This window comes from Homo sapiens, chromosome 17 (genome assembly GCF_000001405.40).
Source record: "Homo sapiens chromosome 17, GRCh38.p14 Primary Assembly".
Lineage (NCBI taxonomy): Eukaryota > Metazoa > Chordata > Mammalia > Primates > Hominidae > Homo > Homo sapiens.
Genome location: NC_000017.11, coordinates 62,702,720 through 62,725,913, shown reverse-complemented (window position 1 = coordinate 62,725,913; position 23,194 = coordinate 62,702,720). Strand labels below are relative to the sequence as shown.

At 49.7% G+C, this 23,194-nt stretch overlaps 1 protein-coding gene and 1 long non-coding RNA gene across 17 annotated transcripts in view, besides 6 other annotated features; one reads left to right on the top strand and one right to left on the bottom strand.

Annotated features, from left to right (window-relative positions):
- MARCHF10-AS1 (MARCHF10 antisense RNA 1) overlaps window positions 1-19,708 on the bottom strand; it is a 31,717-nt gene extending 12,009 nt beyond the window's left edge. The window contains exons 1-2 of the long non-coding RNA NR_147886.1: window positions 19,445-19,708; window positions 18,307-18,482 (exon numbers count right to left, since the gene is read on the bottom strand). This is a non-coding gene — a long non-coding RNA (MARCHF10 antisense RNA 1). The remainder of the gene's footprint in view (window positions 1-18,306; window positions 18,483-19,444) is intronic.
- The window catches only part of MARCHF10 (membrane associated ring-CH-type finger 10), a 107,001-nt gene that overhangs the window by 82,401 nt on the left and 1,406 nt on the right, over window positions 1-23,194 (top strand). For 9 of the 16 annotated variants that reach the window (XM_005257102.4, XM_005257100.4, XM_005257098.4 and 6 more), the window contains 3 exons: window positions 810-976; window positions 3,317-3,426; window positions 14,570-14,683. In XM_005257102.4, coding sequence (XP_005257159.2) covers window positions 810-976; window positions 3,317-3,426; window positions 14,570-14,683 — 391 coding nt within the window. Of the gene's footprint in view, window positions 1-809; window positions 977-3,316; window positions 3,427-11,481; window positions 11,674-13,214; window positions 14,211-14,569; window positions 14,684-20,332; window positions 21,010-23,194 lie in introns of those variants that run through there. The other 7 variants (NM_152598.4, NM_001288779.2, NM_001100875.3 and 4 more) reach the window with 3 other exon arrangements.
- Window positions 906-985: an enhancer, noted in NCBI's record as "active region_12543". NCBI's record gives its function as "activates an Ori minimal core promoter by ATAC-STARR-seq in GM12878 lymphoblastoid cells {active_cell/tissue: GM12878}" and the evidence as "EXISTENCE:reporter gene assay evidence [ECO:0000049][PMID:35858748]".
- Window positions 5,323-5,402: an enhancer, noted in NCBI's record as "active region_12542". NCBI's record gives its function as "activates an Ori minimal core promoter by ATAC-STARR-seq in GM12878 lymphoblastoid cells {active_cell/tissue: GM12878}" and the evidence as "EXISTENCE:reporter gene assay evidence [ECO:0000049][PMID:35858748]".
- Window positions 5,573-5,652: a silencer, noted in NCBI's record as "silent region_8812". NCBI's record gives its function as "represses an Ori minimal core promoter by ATAC-STARR-seq in GM12878 lymphoblastoid cells {active_cell/tissue: GM12878}" and the evidence as "EXISTENCE:reporter gene assay evidence [ECO:0000049][PMID:35858748]".
- Window positions 19,589-20,380: an enhancer, noted in NCBI's record as "OCT4-NANOG hESC enhancer chr17:60782895-60783686 (GRCh37/hg19 assembly coordinates)". NCBI's record gives its function as "activates a minimal SCP1, AML or CMV promoter by ChIP-STARR-seq in naive and primed H9 embryonic stem cells {active_cell/tissue: H9 hESC(naive and primed)}" and the evidence as "EXISTENCE:reporter gene assay evidence [ECO:0000049][PMID:30033119]".
- Window positions 21,243-21,469: a silencer, noted in NCBI's record as "fragment chr17:60781806-60782032 (GRCh37/hg19 assembly coordinates)". NCBI's record gives its function as "represses an EF-1alpha promoter that drives an FKBP-Casp9 reporter gene in an ReSE screen in HepG2 liver carcinoma cells {active_cell/tissue: HepG2}" and the evidence as "EXISTENCE:reporter gene assay evidence [ECO:0000049][PMID:32094911]".
- Window positions 21,648-22,057: a silencer, noted in NCBI's record as "silent region_8811". NCBI's record gives its function as "represses an Ori minimal core promoter by ATAC-STARR-seq in GM12878 lymphoblastoid cells {active_cell/tissue: GM12878}" and the evidence as "EXISTENCE:reporter gene assay evidence [ECO:0000049][PMID:35858748]".

The window sequence follows — 23,194 nt, the reverse complement described above, 5'->3', positions numbered from 1 at the left end:
GCCCTAGGAAGTAGGTGGCAGTGGTGTTATCACCATGACCCTCATTGTACAGATGAGGAAACAGGGTCTTGGGAAGATTAAGGAACTTATCCAAAGTCACACAACTCACAAGTTTCAGAGGCTGGCCTCAAACCCAGGCCCCCTGACCACGAATCCCATGCACTCACCAGTATGCCACCCCCACCAACTTCCTGGCAGGGAGAGGGGCTCCTGGCCTTGACTCCAGTTTGAAAATGATTCTGTAGCCATTTCCCTTTACCTCTTGATTTATGGTGGCAGTGCTGGTCCTCCATGTCAGCTCACACGTATTGACAATTGCAAAGAAGCCTGTTACAAGAATTTGTGCCTCAGCCAGGCCCAGGGGCTCACACCTGTAATCCCAGCACTTTGGGAGGCCAAGGCATGTGGATCGCTTCAGCCCAGGAGTTCAAGACCAGTCTGGGCAACATCGTGAGACTCCATCTCTACAAAATAATTTTTAAAATAGCCAGGTGTGGTGGCATGCACCTGTAATCCAGCTACTTGGGAGGCTGAAGTGGGAGGATCACCAGAGCCTGAGGAGGTTGAGGCTGCAGTGGGCCAATATTGTGCCACTGCACTCCGGCCTGGGCAACGGAGTGAGACTCTGTTTCAAAAAAAAAGAGAGAATTTGTGCCTGTGTTATCAAAAATCATCTCACTAGGGTCAGAGGGGGCAGCGGGTGAGTACCAGGAGCCCTCTTCCTTCTCTGTCAATGCTCTGGGAACTGGTATTTGTAGAAACTGCAAACGTGTAGCCTCCTGGTCACGAGGGCTTGTTTTCACATTTAGTCTCCTGGAGGAGGACTCCGAGGAGGAGGGAGACTTGTGTCGCATCTGTCAGATAGCCGGGGGTTCCCCAAGCAACCCCCTCCTGGAGCCTTGCGGCTGTGTGGGAAGCCTGCAGTTTGTTCATCAAGAGTGCCTGAAAAAGTGGCTGAAAGTGAAAATAACATCAGGTAGGTGGGGAAGGAAGTGCAGTGAACGTGCCACGACATGTAATTAACATGAGGCACCACGGTGTGGGCCCCGGAGCCTTGTCATCAGCTCACTCTCCTCCGCAGAACAGCGACTCAGGGACACGTGGCTGAGCTCCAGATCCTTGCTCATAAAAGCTGTCTTTAAACTATGGGAGGGAGTTGGGGGTTTTTTGTTTGTTTTTGTTTTGGTTTGTTTTTTGTTTTTTGCTTTTATCTGAGAGAAGACTCCTGGGAACAAATGCTATTGAATTCTACCTCTGCTTGAGGCCTGAGCAGAGATGCTAAGATCGCCTCTCAGGAGGAAGGAAATAGAAGTGGGTCAGCGGTGGAAGCTCAGCAGACACACAGTAGCCGTGCCCAGCTAGCAGACACCCAGCAAAATACTTCAGAAGGTCCCTCATGAGAGACCCCCAGCACACACATCCTACTTCCTTTTATTTGGGGGTCACCTAAGAAACTAAACAAAGCTGCCTTTTAGCAATAGGGATAAGAGTGCTGATCTGATTGTCTAGAACCATATTAGATAAAGAAATTTCCATGTGCTGATTTTGTCAGCTCCCTAGCATCTTATAACTGGGTGTGCGGCACCTTCTCAACTCCCTGAGCAGGTTATAACCTAAATACAACCACATCGGTAGGTCGGCTGTAGTTTTCTGGGCAGAGAACAGAAGGTTTCTTTAAAGCATGGCTTTAGGAATGAGATCAACTTTAAGCAAAAAAAAAAAAAAAATGCATGGAACATCAGTGCAAAGAGCAACTTGATCAGAAAATAGCTGCGGCTTCTTTCAGACACACATCTCTGAAAACATATCCCCCCACAGCCAGATCCTATTTCTCCCCGTCTTCCATATCCTTCTCCTTAGCCGTCACTATCCAGGCTGCAGGGAGACTTAGAGCTTTACCCTGTCCCCATGAGGTGTTGCCACGCCCCCTCACCAAGGACAGCACACCATGGAATCAGAGAATGAACACGTGGGGTAATCATATTACTGTGTCATCCATGGAGCCCGTTTTATGCAACTTCCCTAGCATAAGAAATATAAGTCCACTGATCAAGATGCTTAAACGCATATCCATATAACGAGCAAAATATTCAGTCCTTCAGAGAGGGAAGAAAACGAGTAGATTTTGGTTGCTAACGACTCTGCCATGCAATCCTTTATCTTCCTAGAAATTTGGGCCAATTAAACATCTAACACAGAAAAAGTTACCTGTGAAACATGTCATGAAAATGCTGCTATGCTCATAAATGTCAACGCTTGTATGGGTGTGTTCAGTAGGATTCGATCGGAAGACTCATGGGACATTTGGTAGCCTAAAGCGTTACTGAATGACGCTAAAAAAAAAAAAAAAAAAAGTCAAGCGAACAAAATGCAGATAAGGGATTACTTCCTGTTCATCCTTGCCCTTTGAAAGTCTCTATTATTTACTGTTTCTTTATATCCCCAGTGGGGAAATAGAATGGAGGTATGAAACTGCACAAGCCCTATTTTTACCAAATACATGCAGGTAACTAATAGGTCTTTTATTTTCTAATGCATAAAATAAACACCAGTACATCATTAGTCAAAAGCCGCAACTAAGGGGGAGAAACTGTCTGGCAGAATGTTTGCTTAGACATAACAGCCCAGCTCTGCATCCTCCACTTTTGCATTGGGGAATAGGATAAAAATGCTGATCTAGAATGCCTGTTTTTATAAAAACAGCAACAAAGGAAGCCTTCTCATATTCCTTTTCCCCGATGAGTCTGAGCTCAGGCTGATGAGCTGGCCCTGGGTACTACTGTAACTAGTACCCACACCTGGCCCCTCGCTCCCTCACTGTTCTCAGGTGGCAATGTTACCTGGGCAGGAGTAAAGGCAGATTTTTAAGCCATTGATCGAGAATAGCTTCTGCCATCTATTTTGGTCCTCACTAATTTATTTACTTGGACCTGTGTTGGGTCTACAATAAAAAAAAAAAAAGCTGAATAGTCACTCTTTTTACAAACACCTGTGTTACAGACTCTTAGCCTCTGTGCAGCAATTCCAAGTTTATGAACCATCCTGTTTATATTTAAATAGAAAGCAAGATCTGCTATTTAAAAGTCGTGGGAATTTCACTTCTATGAAGCTTGCATAATAGATGACTACAAAGGAAATTTTTCAGCTCTCAGATTCAAGGTCATTTTCTACAGAAGATGGCTGGCTTTAAAGGAAGGTCACTGAAGCTCAGAATTCATAACACACACAAGTTCACTCCCCAAATATCACCTGTCCAAAGTGCTAACACAAACAGACCCATGGTTATATGTACATATAATTCTTTATCCAATTTAAGGAGCAGATCTTGGTGCCGTGAAGACCTGTGAGATGTGTAAGCAAGGCCTGCTGGTTGACCTGGGTGACTTTAACATGATTGAGTTCTACCAGAAGCACCAGCAATCTCAGGTAAGAAATGTGGCCACTCTGCCTCCACAGGTTAAAGTATGTTAGAGGGGCAGGGCGAGAAGACATTCCCCTTCCCTGATCTAAGAAATGTAGAAGGTCTCTGCTGGCAGGAGTCTGACAATATCCATTTAGCTTACTTCTCTGAGAAGACCTGCCACTAAATTAGAGTATTAGAGAGTTGAAAAGCCTTTTTTTTTTTTTTTTTTTTTTGAGACAGAGTCTCACTCTGTCGCCCAGGCGGGAATGCAGTGGCACAATCTCACTGCAAACTCTGCCTCACAGGTTCAAGCGATCCTCCCACCTCAGCCTCCTGAGTAGCTGGGATTACAGGCGTGTGCCACCACACCCACCTAATTTTTGTATTTTTAGTAGAGATGGGGTTTCTCCATGTTGGCCAGCTTGGTCTCGAACTCCTGATCTCAAGTGATCTGTCTGCCTCCACCTCCCAGAGTGCTACAATTACAGGTGTGAGCCACTACACCTGGCCGAGAGTTGGAAGTCTTATTTGTCCTGGGTTGAGTTTGCCCTGCTGTTGGGAACAAAAGTAAGAAGCTTCAGTGGGCAACTGGACACAGAAAAATACCAAAAAATTCTGGCAAGCTCCACACCCACGTTTGCAGAAGTAATTTAATAACAAGAGAAAAAAAAATCAGGGTCTTGGAGGAAATGGTCCCTAATTTAAATACCAAGTAACCCTGGGATAAGAAGGAACTGCTTTACCTACATACAGCTAATGAACATGAGGTAAATGCCTACTGGCTGATCTTTATCACCTAGTGAATTAACTCTCCTAGGGTATTTGGACTGCATTTCTAATATTGTAAAAAAGTTAGTTACCCTCAAGTGGGAAGTTGATTTGTGCCTGAGATAACAGTTAATCACCCAATTCTCAGGCAAACAGTCTTCCATTTAGAACTATTAGGTTGGTGCAAAAGTAATTGCAGTTTTGCCACTTTTGTTGGCAATATCCACAATTACTTTTGCACCAACCTAATACTATTTTGTTCAATATAGAAGTCACAAGCCACTTGTGGCTAATGAACAGGTGGCTTGTTCTAATCAACATATCCTGTAAGTGTCACATACACACCAAATTTCAAAGACACAGTACCAAAAAAAAAAAGGGGGGTAATATATCACCTAATTTTAAACACCAAGTTTCAAAGACTTAGTACACTTTCCAGTTCAGTATGTAAAGAGTTTGAAGTTGTCACTTCGTTTTAACAACAAGTAAAAAGCTTTAAAAAGTGCAAAATCAACAACCCTTCTTAGATCCATAAGAGAAGTGAAGTCACAGAGCAAATCACTGCCCCTAAAATTGGAAAGACAGGCAGATAGAATCACTAATCCCAGCACTTTGGGAGGCCAAGGTGGGCGGATCACTTGAAGTCAGGAGTTTGAGACCAGCGTGGCCAACACAGCGAAACCCCCATCTCTACTAAAAATACAAAAATTAGCTGGGCGTGGTGGCGCATGCCTGTAATCTCAGCTACTCAGGAGGCTGAGGCTTGAGAATCGCTTGAACCTGGGAGCCAGAGGTTGCAGTGAGCCGAGATCGCACCACTGCACTCCAGCCTGGGCGACAGAGTGAGACTCCATCTCAAAAAAAAAAAAAAAAAAAAAAAAATCACAACTTACCGGAGCAGAGACTCCTGAGCAGAAAGCTCTATGGAAACCAGTGCTGGACAAGCAATCTTAAGCTGTAATTAATGAACTGCTGGATGCTCAGTGTAGACAAGTCTGAGAGTCAAAAATTCCAGGGGGACCCTGTCATAAGGGTATCCCCACACTTCAGTGAGTTTTCTGTCCAGGAGTGCAACCAGGTGCTTACAGTGAATAGCAGAGAAAAATTCCTTCATGCTTCCAGCAGGGGGAGGGGGAAAGTAACCATTTTGGTATAAGCCAGAGCTTTCTGTTCTTACTAACAGTTTGCCCTCAGGAGAAACTATTTAACCAGAGCCTAACCTTTGGAGGTTTTATCAGAGCGCCATACCTAACTGGAAGAAGGGAAATACTCAACTCCAGCCCTCTCTAGCCATCTTGTCCCACCTAAGGTGGGAGGGGGAGGATAGAGAAACTGAGAAGCACTTGTGAAGTTCACAGTCCAGAGGCACAAGCTCACTCAGACTGGGACCTAGAGTCTCAAAGGACTGTAGAATACTTCCCCTCTCCCCACACCTCACCACCACATGGCTAACAACCCATTTATAGCAGTTCCTTTTACCCAGTACATCACGTCTGGCTACCAAGAAAAAATTACAAGACATACTCAAAGGTGAAAAGCACAGTTTGAAGAGACAGAGCAAACACCAGAACCAGACTCAGATATGGCAGGGATGTTGGAATTACCAGACCAGGAATGTAAAACACTATGATTAATATGCTAAGGACTCTAACAGGTAAAGTAGACAGCACTTAAGAACAGATGGGCAGTGTACACAGAGGAATGGAAATTCTAAGAAAGAAAAAGAAATGATAGAGGTGAAAAACTCTAACAAATGAAGAATGCCTTTGATGGGCTTATTAGTAGACTGGATACAGCTGAGGAAAGAATCTTTGAGTTGAGCATATCCCAATAGAAACTGCCCAAAATGGAAAAACAAAGAGAACAAAGATTGGAAAAAAAGAAAAGAAAACAGAGCAGGATATCCAAGAACTTGTGAGACAATTATCCAAAAGGTGTAATAGACACATCATGGGAATACCCAGAAGGAGAATAAAGAGAGAAAGGAACAGAGAAATATTTGAAGCAATAATGACTGAGAATTTCCCCCAAATTAATGTCAGACACCAAATCACAAATCCAGAAAGCTCAGAGAACACCGAACAAGATAAATGCCAAAAGCAAAACAAAACAAAACAAACAAAAAACCCACCACCATGACACATCATATTTAAAATGGAAAAAAAAATCAAAGATAAAGAAAAAATCCTGTAAGAGGCCAAAGGGGAAAAACACCTTCCCTAAAGGGGAGTAAAGATAAGAATGACATCTGACTTCCCAGAAAGCATGCAAGCAAGAAGACAGAGAAACAAAATATTTACAGTGTTAAGAGAAAAAACTGGCCAACCTAGATTTCTGTACCCTGCAAAATTATCCTTCAAGAGCAAAGGAGAAATAAAGATTTTCTTAGGCAAATACTTAATGCCAAAAAAGTAAAATATCAAAAAAAAAGTAAAAATTACATACAGAAATGATCATTTGAAAATATTAGGTTAATAAATTATATTGTTAAAATTAATTTCACCAGTTTCTTTTTACTTCTTTAATGTGGCTACTAGAAATTTTAAATTACATCTGTGATTTGTGTTTGTATCTCTGAGTGTATTCTATTGGATGGGGCTGATCTAGAAGGTGATTTCCACTTTATAAGCAGTCAATTAATATTTACCAGACCTTTTTTTGGCCAACGTTTTGACAGCTAAGTCAAAATGATTTGTGTGAGTCTAGGCAATTCTGCAGTTTCCTTGTTTAAAATTTTAAGGGTGTAGACCAAAGAACAAAATATTGACAAGAATGAAGGATATTTGAAGAGTTCAGTGAATAAGGGCATAATGCCACAGCAGCATTACAGAGGTTAGGCATCAGGAGGTTAGAGAAAGAAAAGGAAAAAAGAGAAAAGAAGAGAGGAAGAGAAGGGAGGGCAGGGGAGGGGAGAGGAGAAGGACTTCTTGAGAAATAAATAGTGTTTTGAGGCCTGAAGGTCTCACATCACTGCATCATAACCACCAGGCACTAAGATCTGAGACGATAAACAGCGCGACTCACATTCCTGGACGCTGAGCATGTGGGAGGCGAAATACTGAAAGAAACCAGAACCTCTCAGTGCCTGAGGTCAGGTGCCAGTCAGGGTGCCGACAGGTTCATCTCAAGAAATAGATCATTTTGGGCAACGGAGCCTGCCGAATCTCCTAAGGAGGACGTGTCCACGTGAGGATGGGTTGCCCAGAATACTATCTATCAGAGCAATCTACTGACACCACAAACACCGTGCAGCCCAGGGGAATGCCTTGTCTAGAAAAGATCCCTTTTGGCCCCAAGCCTTTCCACATGGTTCTCCCTCTGCCAAGCTGCTGCCACCATCTAATGTCCTTTATCAATGGCATTTATAGAACTGACCCAACAGCAGCACATTTTTCCATTTGTACTAAGATGTTTGCACTCATGTAGTCTGAGGCCGCAGGTCCCACTGAAAAGCCTACCAGCTTTGATTAAGATCTCAGTCTAAACCCTACTCTCTTCCCCAGAGTGGCCCCGTGACCTTGAGGAGACTATGGCAATTCTCTGCACCTCAGTTCTCTTATCTGTAGAAGGTGAGAGATGTTAACTCACACCTCACAGGTCTGGATGTAGGAAAAGACTCGAGTACATCACCTCATAGACAGAGTGTGGGCAGAGGAGGCTCCACGCATGAGAACTGTCAGATTACAGCCACAGAGACGCTCGACTGACTTGGCACTCAGGGGAGAAAGCTACGTGCACCAATGACTGGCCTAGAGTCCATCAGTGAACTAACAAAACAAACCAGCCCCACTGGGTCACATCCATATCCTCGGCCCCACCGCACCCTCCATGTTAAGACAACTGGCTACAAGCACCTTCTAGAAAGAACTATGACAGTAATTGTATCAGCCAGGATCTGGGTGGGAAGAGATGGTGGCACACTCAAAGGGGGCAAGTGAAGAACGCAGAAGGGAGGAGGGAAATCTGGGCAGCAAAAGAAAGCAGCAAGGAACGAGGAGGCGTCCTGGGACTAGCAGTGTGGCCAGGGTCATGAGCGCTGTAGCTAAGGATCAGCCACCAGCAGCCTGTGGCCTTCAGGAGAAGACAGCAACCACTGTCACACCACGCCCAGCAGAGAGGGATTGGGAAGAGACACCCAGCTTCTCCCTCCTCCGCCCTCGGGTCTCCTGCCGGGGCCTCCCATGGGCCAAACCCAACGGGAAGCCAGAGGGCAAGGAAGCCCGGCTGGGGAAAGCCATGGGGCCGGCCCCTGGGCCACAGAGCAGGAGGGGTGCGGATCTGCAGGAGAGACAGAAAGCATCCAGCACAGTCATTGCTCCACGTGGAAGCAGGAATGATTTTAAATTCGTTTCAGTGAGAACTTCACAAGCCATCAGAGCCTTTGGGAAATGCCCGCATTATCATCCCAGGTGACAGCTAGGCTGCCAGGCCCGCCCTGTGGGGAGAGCCAGGTCATAGCATGGGCGGCTGCTGTCTGGAGGCGGCTGAGGGCTCACACCTCACTGCAGCCCTGACTGTCCCCATGACCTGCTGGGAATTCATAGTGCCTGTCTGCTCACAGCCTGGGCGAAACCCCAGGCCCCAGGGAGCCTGACTTGGGCGAATTCTGAAGCTCGCCATAGATAAAGACTGAAGCAACTGTTGTTGAACACAAAGATATCTACAACGTCACTGAAACTCAGCTCGTCCCCGAGGCGCGGTGAGCCCACTGAGGGGACAAGCCCAGCTGAGGAGGCCACCAGCCTGGCCGTGGAGGTGACATGGACACCTGTGCCTTGTGGGCCTGGTCCCTTCCCCTCGCTTCCAAACCTGGCTCACCTGGGCCTCCTGGCCACCCTCCTGCTGCTTGTCCTTGGCAAATGGGTTCCTTTCTGGAGAAGTGGCACCACTTCTAGACGTGTACAAGTCTAGACATGTACCAAAAAAGGGGCAAAACCAAAAGAAACCTAGAACGGGCTTCAGCTTAGCCTGGTTCTCACTTAACCTCAAACTAACTGACTAGTGAACTGTTTTTCTTATATATTTTCCCACTTAGAATTTTTTTTTTTTTGCTTTTGTTTAATTACAAAAACCATACAAAAATTTCTTATAATTTACCACCCAAAATGATAACTTATAACATTTAGCTGCAGGTCTTCTTTTTTTCTATTAAAATGGTGATACACAGGCCCAACCCAGGTCTAACCCCAGCTCTGGGATGGGGCCAGGGTCCCTCCTGGGTTCAAGGGATCCTCCTGCCTCAGCCTCCTAAGTAGCTGGGTCCACAGGTGTGTGCCACCACACCCTGCTTTTTTTCTTTTTTTTTTTTTTTGAGAGATGGGGTCTGTCTCACTTTGTTGCCCAGGCTGGTCTCAAAATCTTGGGCTCAAGTGATCTTCCCACCTTGGCCTCCCAAAGTGCTAGGGTTACAGGTGTGAGCTACCACACCCAGCCAGTTTAACTAAATTTTCAAATACTTATTGAGCACCTGCTGCCTGTGAGATACTGTGCCGAAAATGCTGCCGTACCCAAGACCCGCAGGGCCCTACCGACCAGCAGCGAAGACTGAAGCCAGCAATTCCTGCAGGTGGAGGTCAAAACAAGGACCATGCAGGCCGCTGCGGGAACAGCTGTGGGACTCCGACTTGCTCTCTGAACCAGAGAAGGCCTTTCTGAAGAAGAGATGTTTAACAGCGGAAGGAAAGAGAGGAGCGGGCCTTCTATCAACCGGGCCTTGGAGTGAAGTCTGTGACATCTGGGACGGACGCCTCCCCTGGGACCTGAGCACAGATCAGGGCGTGTCCTCTAGGTGCCGGGTCAGCACTGTCGGTGGCCTTTGAGAGTGTGGAGGGGCTCCCGTCAGAGCACGTTTTCCTACCTTAGTTCTGTACTTCTGGTGGGAGCAGGGCAGATGCTGCTCACAGGTGCTAACAGGGCACTGAACTCGGATTATTCTAGTATGAGGCCCAAGGTCAAGGTCTGTTACCAGGCCTCAAGCGGCTAGATCAGGAACTCCTACAAGCATCTGGAGAGGGGATCATTAGACAAGAGCAGCTGTGGGACCCCAGGGACCTGGCGGTTTCATCTTAGGTCTGTCAGGGCCTGTGGCAGTACAGCCCTCCTTTCTCCTGACTCTTTCGGTAGTGCTGTGTGTGAGGCAAGCCTACATTTGCTCCTGTGAGCGTTGGCTGTCGCCTGGAAGCAGGACTCATATTGGATGCTGGTTGGGCACTCGGTTTTGCGGTGGAGGGCAGAACTCCTGGACAGCAGCATGCGGCGAGCCAAATAACATTCTAGCCTCCAAAATGGATGAGGTGAAAACAGGTTTAAGGAAAGCTTAGGTCACAGGTTACACACTCAAATACCACAGAGGCCAGGCAGACAACAAATGATGGTAATCTTCTAGGTATCCTGCCATTGGGCGTGGTGGCATTTGTGGCAAAATGGAAAGTGCTCTCCCCAACTAAAGATGGTCATGCTCTTCTTTTCTACCTTCCTTCTTGCTTCCTTCCATCCAACCAGAGCACATCCACAGGCCAGATTCAGCTTAGCAGCTACCACGTGCTCACCCTTAGTTTAGATCAGTGGTTCTCAAAAATGGGTGGTCCCCAAACCAGGAGCGTTAGCATCATCTGGGAACTTGTTAGAAGTACACATTCTTGGGCCCACTCCAGTCCAGCTGAATCAGAAATGCAGGGAGGAAAGGAGGAGCAGTGAGGCCAGGCGCGGTGACTCACGCCTGTAATCGCAACACTTTGAAAGGCCGAGGTGGGTGGATCATTTGAGGTCAGGAGTTGGAGACCAGCCTGGCCAAATGTGGTGAAACCCCGTCTCTACTAAAAATACAAAAATTAGCTGGGAGTGGTGGCACACACCTGAAATCCCAGCTACTCGGGAGGCTGAGGCAGGAGAATCACTTAAACCTGGGAGGCGGAGGTTGCAGTGAGCCGAGATCACACCATTGCACTCCAGCCTGGGCAACAGAGTGAGACTGTCTCAAAAAAAGAGGAGAAGGGGGAGGGGAGGGGACGGGACTGCCTGGCAACTGTGTTTGAAAAGGCCTGCTCAGTATTTCTGATGCATGTTAAACCTGGAGCCACTAGATTCAAAAGTTGTGGCTGAATGGGTCACTGTCTGATCCATCACAATTATGCATTTTTTTCTCATTGCTTCATCTGTGCATATATTTATAAAGCATGCACAGTATACCAGGCACTGGGCCAGGCACTAGGAGTCAGGAGCAAACAAGACAGATGCAGGTCTTGCCCTCACAGATCTTAACGCCCAGACAATTTACCTGGAATCCTGTCTTTAAATCTTGTCTCTTGTAGGATGTGTTGGTGTTGCGAGATCCCATATATTAGCTCACTTTACTATCATGCTTTGAGGAAACAGGCAGAACAGAGGTTACTTCCCTTCCATTACAAATTGAGTCCCTTTGGTCCTGCACAGTTAAAACTCTGCCTAAAGTCACAGTGTCCGGTGGCCCTGCACTGCCCACCTTAGCCGGCAGCGCTTTCCAGGTAAGATGCACTCCAGGGGCCCCTGCTCACTGAATTGGAACACACCCCTGCCATCCTTGCTCTGCCGCACAGGAGAGTCTCAGTGGGCCTCAGGCTGTCATTGCTGTGAAGCACAGGCCTGGCCTGGCTCCATCTCAGCCAAGGACAGATGTCCTCAGACACACGCAGTCACCTAATCACCCTTATACCTAGGAGCACTCTTGAATATATTTGAAGACTTGATAGAACATTCAGCCAGGCTGTCAGCTTCTTTAAGTGGAATATATTGAGAATTTCCGTCAGTAGCAAGTCTCTTGGCCTAAATGAATATTAGCAAAATGGAGAAAACAGCTGGCAGGTGGGCTGAGATCTCCGGAGCCCTTTTGCGCTGTTTCACATGCCTTCTCCTTTTTAATGTCCCCGCCCCCTCCTATTAATGCCACCCCCATTCCCTTCAGTCTGGCACACAAAGGGAACTCCACGTGGGAGTCAAAGTGTGATGTGATTGGGACAAGGAAGGGGTGGATGGGCCGTAGCTCCAGTAAGCCCTGCTCCAAAACCTCGTTCATTTGGCCCTGGCCAGCCAAGTGCGGTGGAACTCTTTGAGTTAACAAATCCCTCCCACTTGTAGCTCAGGAGTGTAAAGGCTGATTCGGAGTTGACTATCACACGCCTGCTCTGATTGGTGGGCTGAGCCCCTTTGTCGAGCATCACCAGCTCTGCAAAGGGCGCACATAAAGGAACCGAGCCGGCGAGATTGATGGCACTGTGTGGCAGGTTCCCTCCCACAGATCAGAGAAGAGACACAATCTGCTAGAAGTGACTTTTCAAATTATCTGCAGAAAACATTAGTGGATATTCTCCCATCTGCATGCCTCTGGGCCTTATTGAGTCATAAAAAGTAAATGATTTTCCTGAATGCTTTGACAAACCTGATAGTTCCAAACCATTTTCTAGCTGATTGATTTGTCATCATGCATCCCGGTGTCTCAAGCATAAAAGCTGGCTGGCAAAGAGCACTGGTGAGAGAACCACTGGCAGCTTTTGCAGGAGGAAGCCGGGGATGAGGTAAACAAATAAGGACCAAGGCTTTGTTGGTGAGGAGGAGCTAAAAGCCAGGTGAGGAAGGCTTCTCAGAAGAGGTGGTTGGCGAGACAGTCGGAGGCAGGCACAGACTCACGGGGAGGGCAGGAGGAGGCAATTAAAACAGAAAAAGTGGCTAGGCAGGGTGGCTTACACCTGTAATCCCAGCACTTTGGGAGGCCAAGGCAGGTGGATCACCTGAGGCCAGGAGTTCGAGACCAGCCTGGCCAACATGATGAAACCCCATCTCTACTAAAAATACAAAAATTAGCTGGGCGTGGTGGTGCACACCTGTAATCCCAGCTACTCAGGAGGCTGAGGCAGGAGAATTGCTTGAACCTGGGAGGTGGAGGTTGCAGTGAGCCGAGATCACGCCATTGCACTCCAGCCTGGGCAAGACTGTGTCTGTCTCAAAAATAAAATTAAATAAATAAAACAGAAATAATGCAAACAAGCAACTTCTTCTCTACTCACTCTAGGCCAAGGTCAGCAGAGCACAAAAAACACGACCAAAGGCTAAAAATAGGAGGCTAACTGCTAAGGACAGAGGACTGGGGCCTTCGAAGATGGATCTGTAGAATGGTGGAGAGGCCTGCAGCAGTGATCTCAGGGCCGGCTGTCACCAAGATCCAGAGTTGGCCCTGATTCAGAAGGAAGAGCATATCAATCCTTGCTCAACTTCTGTGCCTTTTCTGGCAGCTGCTTGGTCCTGGGAGAGGTGGGTTCTGTGCCAACCTCCTGAGCTGCCCTGGATCTAATGAGAACAGGAAGATGTGGCACCCGCGCTGCTGCAGGAAGAAGGCAGATGAGACACTGAGTGCTCACTGTGTCATTCATGCCCACGCATCGTTATCCTGGGCCGACAGAGTCACAGTTGCAAGCTTTCCCAAGGGTGACGGAAGGGGCCATGCCCTCTGCTGGGGACTCTATTCCCCGGGGGCTGGGTGGCTTTGTGAGCACAGCCTGGCCCATCCCAAGACCCCCACTCAAGGGAAAGATGGGGACTGAAAGGGCCTTCCCCTCCTTCCCCTATAGAGGGATAGGAGTAGTTGTTACTAATACCACTGATTTATGGAAGGTCTGTGAAAGGTCTAGAGTGAGCACAGCCACTCTTGGCAGCAAAGCCCAAGTGCTAAGGACAGAGAAGTGCCATGGGCAGCCAGACCATCACATCCTCCCTGTGTAGCGCCTGTTCTGAGCACCAGCGAGAAAAAAAGCACAGCCCACTCCTCAAGAGAAAGCGGAAACGTTAACAAGTGCAAAAGGTGATATGCAAGATCAAGACGAATGCTTAGGGACTGGGAAGCAAAGGAATGATGGGGGCAAAGGAGGCTCCTCAGGAAGCCTTTCACAAGGGGACATCTGTGACTGCTGAGAACGTTATGGACAAGGCCTGGTGCATCTCTGTTGTAGCACCCGACACATCCAGCTTGTACTGGAGCTGTTTACCGATGAAGCTCTCTCCCCCACACCAGGTGATCGGTTCCCAGCAGGGAGTTCTGAGGCTTTTTGCCCTGTGTTCCCCACAACATCCAGCTCAAGGCTTTGCATATGTAACTGCTCAATAAATGTGGAATGGGATTGAGCCTGGAAAATGGAACTTTCTCCGAGCATCCTCCACTAGCTAGTAAAAAATCCCAGGGGAGTGGCTGCCCTGGCCTCTACCCTGGATCTCCTCCTGCTCTGTCTTCTGGTCCCCAAGAGCAGGCCTTGCCTTGGAGCTTGGGCTCTTCTCCCAGTTCTTGTCACCTCTTAGCCTTGTTACCCTGCATCCCACAATTTAGACCATGACTATTTTACAGATGAACTGAAGAGCTTTCTTTTCCATTTGTAGGCACAAAACGAGCTGATGAATTCAGGCTTGTACCTGGTGCTGCTGCTTCACCTCTATGAGCAGAGGTTTGCAGAACTCATGAGGCTCAACCACAACCAGGTGGAAAGAGAGAGGGTAAGTCTGGCTGTGACCCAGAGCTGTCCGGTGGCAGCCCTGAAAACCCTGCAGTGCTGTTTATTAGATGTGCAAGCTGTTGAGGTCCTCACGGTCGCTTGGGAGGATATGGGACTATCATTGTTAGGACTAAGATTTAGCAGCTGCTAAGTGTACACATGGTGACCCTCTGGCTGAAAAGTAAGTGACGATCACATAATTGCTTATTATTAAACATGAGTAGTAATTAAATGGTCATCAATGGTCATATAACCGAATGAGCCTCTAGGATATTTGCCCCCCAAAAATAGAGGAGAGCAAGGATGCAGGGGCTGGTTGTGTATTACGTGTGGGCACCCGAACATGGAGGACCTGCGAAAAAGAGGAACCTGGCTGGGTGTGATGGCTCATGCCTGTAATCCCAGCGCTTTGGGAGGCCGAGGCTAGAGGATCACTTGAGCTCAGGAATTTGAGGCCAACCTGGCCAACATGGTGAAACCCTGTCTCTACTAAAATTACAAAAAAATTAGCTGGGTGTGGTGGCACACGCCTGTAATCCCAGCTACTTGGGAGGTTGAGGCAGGAGAATCGCTGGAACCCAGAAGACAGAGGTTGCAATGAGCTGAGATTGTGCCACTGCACTCCAGCCTGGGTGACAGAATGAGACTCCGTCTCAAAAAAAAAAAAAAAAAAAAAAAAAAGCTGGGTTCAAACTGTTAGTCATAAGAAACCTAGATTTTTTTTTTTCTGGCTCACATTCTCTCCTTAGACCCTGAGCTCTCAATTAAGACAACAGGCTGGGGCTCTGCCAAGATATCTCCTCAAGAATCTCACCCTCCTTTTGACCCAGGCCTGTCCTTCCTAAACTCTTCCATGGTTTAAATGCTGACATAAATTTCTCAAAGAAATACATTTTTTAAAAAAGAAAAGTACCAGAAGCAGGATATGATCCTTTGTTAACATTTCTGTAACCTTATTTTCATGATTCCACATCTTTTTAATGAACTTTTTATTGCACACTGAACTTCAAAGCATCCGGGGTTGATACAGGTTACAGATGGCCCCAAGAGCAGTGAGCCAATGCAAGCAACATTAGCCACCAGGCTTGCAAAGCAAACATGACAAACGACAAACAGTACAACCCAACAGATGAAGACCAAAGCCCTAAAGCACTGCCTCTAAAGAAACTTCCAGTAAATCTGTCCTGGACTAGGAAGAAGTTGCAAGGAGCAAGCTGGGAACCAGAGCAAAAAGCAGCAGGAGGGACCAGGGACACTCTTCTCTCACCACAAGCTCACATTGAACTGGAGAAACCCTGAAATTGATCTCACCCACTTAGACCACCGAGCAGTAACAGGTACAGATAACCAGTTAAGAGGCACCCAGGCCCGGTGCCGTTGATGCTGCCGGGAGGCTGACGCTGCAGTGAGCCATGATTGGTGCCACCGCACTCCAGCCTGTGTGACAGAGTGAGACCCTGTTTAAAACAAAAAACAAAAAAAGGCACCCAAATGAAAGTAGGAAACCAACTGGCTCTTGTTAAATTCACACTTCTTGATTTGCATCTCAGTAATTTCTCGTAGAAAACATTCAGAATCTGATGGTAACATTGAGCAAAAGAGAGGCACTAAGTCAGCAGAGAAGCCCTCCTTCCCTCTCCTTCATCTACCAGAACTGGAGAATTCACTCACATTGTGTTTCTTGGTTGTGTCTCATGAAGAGACCCAGTGATGGATGCCTCGTTTTTTTTGTTTTGTTTTTTTGTTTTATTTTTTTGAGACAAGAGTCTTGCTCTGTCACCCAGGCTGGAGTGCAGTGGCTCAATCTCAGCTCACTGCAACCTCTGCCTCCCGGGTTCCAGTGATTCTCCTGCCTCCACCTCCTGAGTAGCTGGGATTATCGGTGTATTGTGCCCGGCTAATTTGTGTATTTTTAGTAGAGGCAGGGTTTCACCATGTTGGTCAGGCTGGTCTCGAACTCCTGACCTCAGGTGATCCACCTGCCTTGGCCTCCCAAAGTGCTGGGATTACAGGTGTGAGCCCCCGTGCCCGGCTGACAAATGCCTGTTAATGGTGGTGATCATTTGTCATCCATTCATGCACTGCCCTGTACCAGGTGCGGAGATGAGGATCAGGGAAAGAAGCTACTAGACGCTAGACATGACGCCCTGATGTCCCTTTCCGTAAAGAGCTTGTCAAGGAGTTGAAAGAGGAGACACATATTTATAAAACCAGGAAATAACTGGAAAGTAGCACCTGTGCAAGAGAACTAGTGGACCCAGTGAATTCCTACAGGCTGTGAATTTGACAACATAAGCTCTTCCCTGGCTGGGGCTTCCTGGGGTTTCCTGCAATCCCATAAACAACTGGTCTCCTCAGTGAAGTTGTGAGCTATATGAATGCAAAGCCAGGCCTTCTATGCCTGCCTCTTATGATGCTGGGCCCACAGTGAGTCACATCTGACTGCTGACCATGTCCCTGGCACTATGGATACCAGGAACATTGAGTGTTTACTGACGTCCCAAATGATTTTGCCAGATAAGGAAGTGGCCTGCATGGGTTGGGGGCACTCATTAACAACTTGGGCACGGGAACCTTTATCTCTTTTATATCTCACAGGCCTCCAGTGCCTAGAAAATGCCTAGTACCTAATAGGTGCTTAGTAACATTCTGATGCACAGTCAACTACTGAATCAGAACCTACTTTTTGGCCAGGTGCGGTGGCTCACACCTTTAATCCCAGCACTTTGGGAGGCCGAGACAGGTGGATCACAAGGTCAGGAGATCGAGACCATCCTGGCTAACACGGTGAAACCCTGTCTCTACTAAAAATACAAAAATTAGCCGGGCGTGGCAGCGTGCACCTGTAGCCCCAGCTGCTGGGGAGGCTGAGGCAGGAGAATGGCGTGAACCCGGGAGGCAGAGCTTGCAGTGAGCCGAGACGGCGCCACTGCGCTCCAGCCTGGGCAACAGAGCAAGACTCTGTCTCAAAAAGAAAAAAAAAAAAAAGAACCTACTTTTTCCAGGAGGCGAGTCCTGAGTTATGTTTTGGAGAAAGTGATAGTACAAAATTTGCAGAGAACAATATTCTAGGTAAAGGAATACTTCCAAGTTCAACATATATTTATTTACTCAAAGATTTTCTTTCTCTTTTTGAGACAGGGTCTCACTCTGTTGCCCAGGCTGGAGTGCACTGGCGGGATGACAGCTCATTGCAGCTTTGAATGCCTGGGCTCAAGTGATCCTCCCACCTCAGCCTCCTGAGGAGCTGGGATGCATCCACCACTACACCTGGCTAATTTTTTATTTTTTGTAGAGATGGGGGTCTTGCTAGTTTACCCAGGCTGGTCTTGAATTCCTAGTCTCAAGAAATCTTCCCACCTCAGCCGCTATTCAAAGATTTTCTGCGAACCTACTACATACTAGCCTCTAAACTAGCTTCTGGGAATACAAAGATGATTAAGACACTCCTTTCCTAGAAGAGACTCAGAATCTAAGGAGAGAACACACATGTAACCAAGAGTATCCACAAATGTGCCTGTGTTGTAACGGAAGGTTGGGTCAGATGTGAGGAACACAGAGCAGTCGGATGAAATGGAGCGCTGCCATTCTCGCCCCTCCTTCAGCCCCTCCTCTAGGACAGACCTCCAGCTAGGCTCTTCGCGGACACGTGCCAATGCTTCTGAGGCCTCGCTTTTCATCCAATCAGATTGTGCCCTTTGCAGTCAGTGTTCCCACTTCTTTGGGAGCCTGGTGGCAAACCTGCTTCATTATTGCTCTCACCAATGGATCCACCGTGGGGATGATGTTGACCCAGAATCCTGGAGGGTTTGGCAGATGGGCAAGGGTAGGTGTGATGGGAAAGAGTGTTCCATGCAGAGGGAAATGGAAACGCACAGAGACATGGAAAGACCTGCATGTTTGGGGAAAGTCAGGGAGGTGTGTGGCCAGGGAGGGCAGAGAATGAGCCTAAGGTGCAGGCAGGGAGTGGGGCGGGAAGGGTTTGTGAGCGGCTCTGGAGGCCATGGAACAGTTTCCAGCCTGGGATTGGCAGGCCAGGAGATGTGGGTTTTGGGAGGAGAACTTGGGCAGCCACATTGCAGGGGAAAGAAACCAGCCGGGAGGCTGCTGCAATGGCACGGGGTAATAAGGGGGCCCGTGTGGGAGCATCAGACATGGGAAGGACAGGGCTGGGTCTGGGGTGAGGGACAGGCTGGCGGAAGCACTGGATGCTCGCTTCTGCAAGTGGCCGGCAGGAAGCTGGCCTTTCCTCCCATCGGGGAGCATCTCCAGAGAAGACAGGACCCACCAGCCTCACTTTACCCCACCTTTGAGGTGAAGCTAAATGGCCCTGCCTTCCCTCTCCTCCTTCCCTTTCAGCCCCCACACGGAGCACTCCGTTTGTCAGGGCCTGGTCCCCCATCCCCCGTGTCCTGGCTTCCTCCCAGCTCAGGTCTTGTCTCTATCTGATTATTACAACGATCTCCTGGAGCAAGGACCCTACTCTGTCTTCTGCCCCAGGTGTGCCGTTAATGGTGGAAAACTTCAGGCTAGGTGCAGGGGAAGGGAGCCCCGGGGCTGGCCGGAGGGGCAGGTACGATCTAGAAGCCATTCTCAAATCCCCGTTGGTTCATTCACGTGTGAGACTGGATGGACTGTGCCTACCCCAGTTCCTATCCACATCATTTCTACAAAACCGAAAGCTCTTCCCTCCAAGGCCCAGATCAACCCAAAATATGGGAAGCCCAGGTTTGGTCCACAGTCACAAAAACTTCCCACTCACCAAGATGCAGTTTCCTGATGGAACAAGAGTTGATGAGATAGATAACGATCAGCTGGCACAGAATCTAGAGGCAGGTGGAGGTTATCTCAGGAGCCCAGAGAAAACGGAGGCAGTGGCTAGCCCAGTCCTGATGCATAATTTACCAGGCAACCAGGACCTGCTACTCTAGATGAAATTCCATCCTTCCCCTGCCCTCCCTCTCCTTGGGCACAGAAACGGTCCCAGGGACTAAAGCTGCCTCCACACTGGCCAGGCAGTTGCCTCAGTAACAGTGTCCAGCACCCCTTGTTTTGTCCCCCAGCCTGTCACAAAGCCCCTCTTCTTCCTGGGGAAGAGCACCAGGCCCTCTGCACCGGAGCCCACATCCTTGCAGCCTGGCACAATGGGCTCCCACGGAGTACACAGTGTTTCTTATTGTGGCATAAAATGCCATAAAGTCAGAACAAAGAGTGAGCCCAGGGCCTTGATGGGTCTGCTGCTTCCTGCCGCGCAGAGAATACAAGCGATTGTTTCAAAGCCAGTGGTGAGGCAAGTGGCCAATTAGCACGGCCTTCACCCCCACAGCCTGTAAATGTGATTCGGACCATCAGAATGGGATTCTGCTATTCAGATCAATTGCTCAAAGGAAGCGAGTCTGTTCTCGCTGCCAAATTTAGAAGCCCGAGACAGCAAAGGTGACCCAGGTTATGGCTGCAGCTCTCGTCAGGATGAGGCTGAGCCCTGCCAATGCTTAGCACTCACCCAGCCCTCAGCACCTCTGCCCATTTTCCTGCCCCTTTAAAGTGGTGTAAGGGATTCCTAGAACGTTGCTGCGACTAGGAGGTTATACATCTGTTCACAATCGTATTGGAAAAAACAATTCATTTCTCATTGTCTTCTTTCTTGTAGTTGTCAAGAAATTACCCACAACCCAGAACAGAGGAAAATGAAAGTAGGTTTTGGGGGCCAGTCCTGCCATTTTGAGGGTGTTTGCTAAATTACTCTTTTTCTGTGACTGTGTGGAACCAAATGCCATGGAAGGAAGGAATGACCACCACCCAGAGGCAAAAATAACCCCGCAAAGCTTGGGAAAGTCAGCCGCAGCAAACAATCAGGAAGGCGAGGCCAAGTTCACTGGATGCAGAGCAGATAAGAATTTTAATTCATCCTGAACGCAAGGAAAGGCGCCAACAAAGGGAAGAGGTTATCTTCCGGCATGAGATAAGATTTGTTCCTTTTCCTTGCTGGGATTCTCCAGCGTCCAGCACTTGGAGAGTTTGGGGGTTGGTTTTTTTACTGCCAGGATTCCTCTAGGAAAACCCTCCCCAAGCCCTGGCAGGGGCTGTCTGGCCCTTACCTGAAGGGACCACATTCACTCACAAGCTAGTGGCCTTGGTGGATTTGGGGTCTGCTGAATTCAGAGGTTGAACAAAGCAAACAGGTCTCCCAAGAAAGGGCCCTCAAAGCGGGCAAGACGGCTCTCTGCAAACAGGTTCGAGAAAAGCCTTCTCCCTGTTCCTTTTTCCATTAAAAAAAAAAAAAAACGACTGGAGAAAAACGTGCTTAATAAAGCAGGCGGGCTCGAAGTCAGACTCGGGAAGAACTTCATCAGGAGGCAGAATCAACACCGCAGTGAATCCAGCGGTGTGTGACAACTGGGTCCCCAGAGATTCTTCTGGGGGAAAATTTCACAACTGCCTGTCCAAAAGCCCTTAGAACAGTGGCTCCCACATGGGCTTTGCCATCAGAATCACCCGGGAACTCACCAAAAACTCGGTTTCCTGGGCCCCGCCCAGAGATTCCGCTTCAGGCGATGGGGTGGGGCCCTGGAATCGTGTTCACACCGGACCCAGGTGATCCTGACACAGCCGACTGCGGGGGTGCTTTTGAGAACTCCCAGTAGTCCTGCCTGGAAGGCGCGAACCAGCTCAAAGCTGCTCGGGGTGGGGCCCAGATTACGACCCTAGAGAAGCCAATTTATTATTCCGGGCACGCAGCCCTGCGAAGCCGAACTGACCATTTTCAGAGACCCGGAGAGGGCCCTGCTTTCCGCTCTTTTCCACAAAAGGAGCCCGGGAGCCCCAGCCCGGGCGCAACCGCGGGGTCTGGCCGATCCCAGCGCCCCCTCGCGCGGCCACCCCCGACCCCGGCCTCGCCCCCCCGGGCCTCCAGCCTCCGCAGCCGGGAAGGGCGCTGCGAGGTCTTTAAAAGACCTTTGTGTCGCGGGCGCACGCCGCACCTCCGGGGAAAACGCCCTGCGCCTCGGCCCCGCGGCTCCCCGCCGCCGCCCGCCCCGCGCGTCCCAGCCTCCGCCTCGGCGAGGGCCTCCCGCTCCGGAAGGGGCGCGACGGGGAGCCCGGCCTGGTTGCTGCGGCCCCGCGCTCCGTCCAGCCGCGGCCGGGAGGACAGGGCAGCAGGGTCCCGGCGCCGCGCCCAGGCGCCCCCTCCCCAGCCCCGCCCCGGAGACGCCTCGCTTTTCCCGGTCCGGGGAAACCTGCGGCGACCGGGCGCGCCCGCGTGGCTTCCGCTGGGCAGGGGCGACCCCTAGTGCCCAGGGCGAGCCGCGCCGAGCAGGACCGAGCCTTTCCCCGCACACCCTGGAGCCTGGGCTTGGGGCACCCTGGCCTTGAGCCCCGGCCCCAGGGAAGACCGACGTCTCCGGAGGGCAGAAGAACATCCCTAGGGTGGTGCTCCGAAAAGAGTCGCCACGGGAGGCAGGGAACCTGCCGCCCTTCCCTGCTGCTCCGAGGCAAATGGTCCCACAGAGGGAGCGACCCACACTCATTTGTCATCCTTCCTCCGGGAACTGGGACCCGCTGGAGGATCCACCCCATCACCAACCCTCCCCTGCCGCTCTCGGCCCCAAGGTGGAGACAGCCAGTTCTCCCCTGGAGGCCCAGGCCATCTCCACCTGCCCCCAGCTCAGCACACACCCCAGACACGGGTGGGCACAGCCGAGGCCGAGGAGAACCCAGCACAGAGGGACCATCCTGGGGTGCTGACCAGTCGCAGCCTTGGCCTGGCTTCCCGCCAGAGCCGTTCTCAAGACAAGAGCCAGGGTAGCCATTGGCAGAGCCATGGGCACCCAGCCTCCCCCATAGGCCACACTCCCTTGGTCCCCTGGCATCCTGGCATGACTCGCCTGGTTGGCAGCACTTTGTTAATATGGGTTGCCGGAGGTGAGTCACAGCTGTGACCTGCTGCCCTAGCTCGGTTGAGGTACACAGGAGGAAAAGAGGCAAAACATCAGGGCACACCAGGTAGCACAGAGAGGTGCCAGCCTCTTTGTGACTCTGTGGTGCCCATGCCAGCCTGCTGACCAGGCCCCCCTCCCTTGCACGTGAGAACCAAAGCCTCACACAAATGCCACAAGTGAAACCGAGGTTAGGGCAGCTGGGGAGAGTCCCTGGGTGTGCCCAGGAACCAGCACCAGGACAGCTGCTTCCCAGTGGCACAAATAACTTCCCAGTGTCACCAAGACAAGGGGTGGTGGGTCGGTAGTGGGGGCAATACCTCCTGCAGATATGCAAACAGATGAGGACAGGGGCAGGAACAGGGGCGGGTGTGAGGGCCCTTGGCCAAAGGCTGGGCCAGAGCACCTCCCCAAACACCCAGTCAAGGCTACTGGCTTTTGGAGAAAGCGCAGGATGGACGAGGGGATGGGGGCAGCTCAGGGGCTTGGGCTTCCTTGGGTAGAACTGAGAGGGTGAGAGGGTCCAGGTAGGATTGAGGGGATGTCAGTTGCTCCTGCTCCGTGCAACAGTTTCTTCC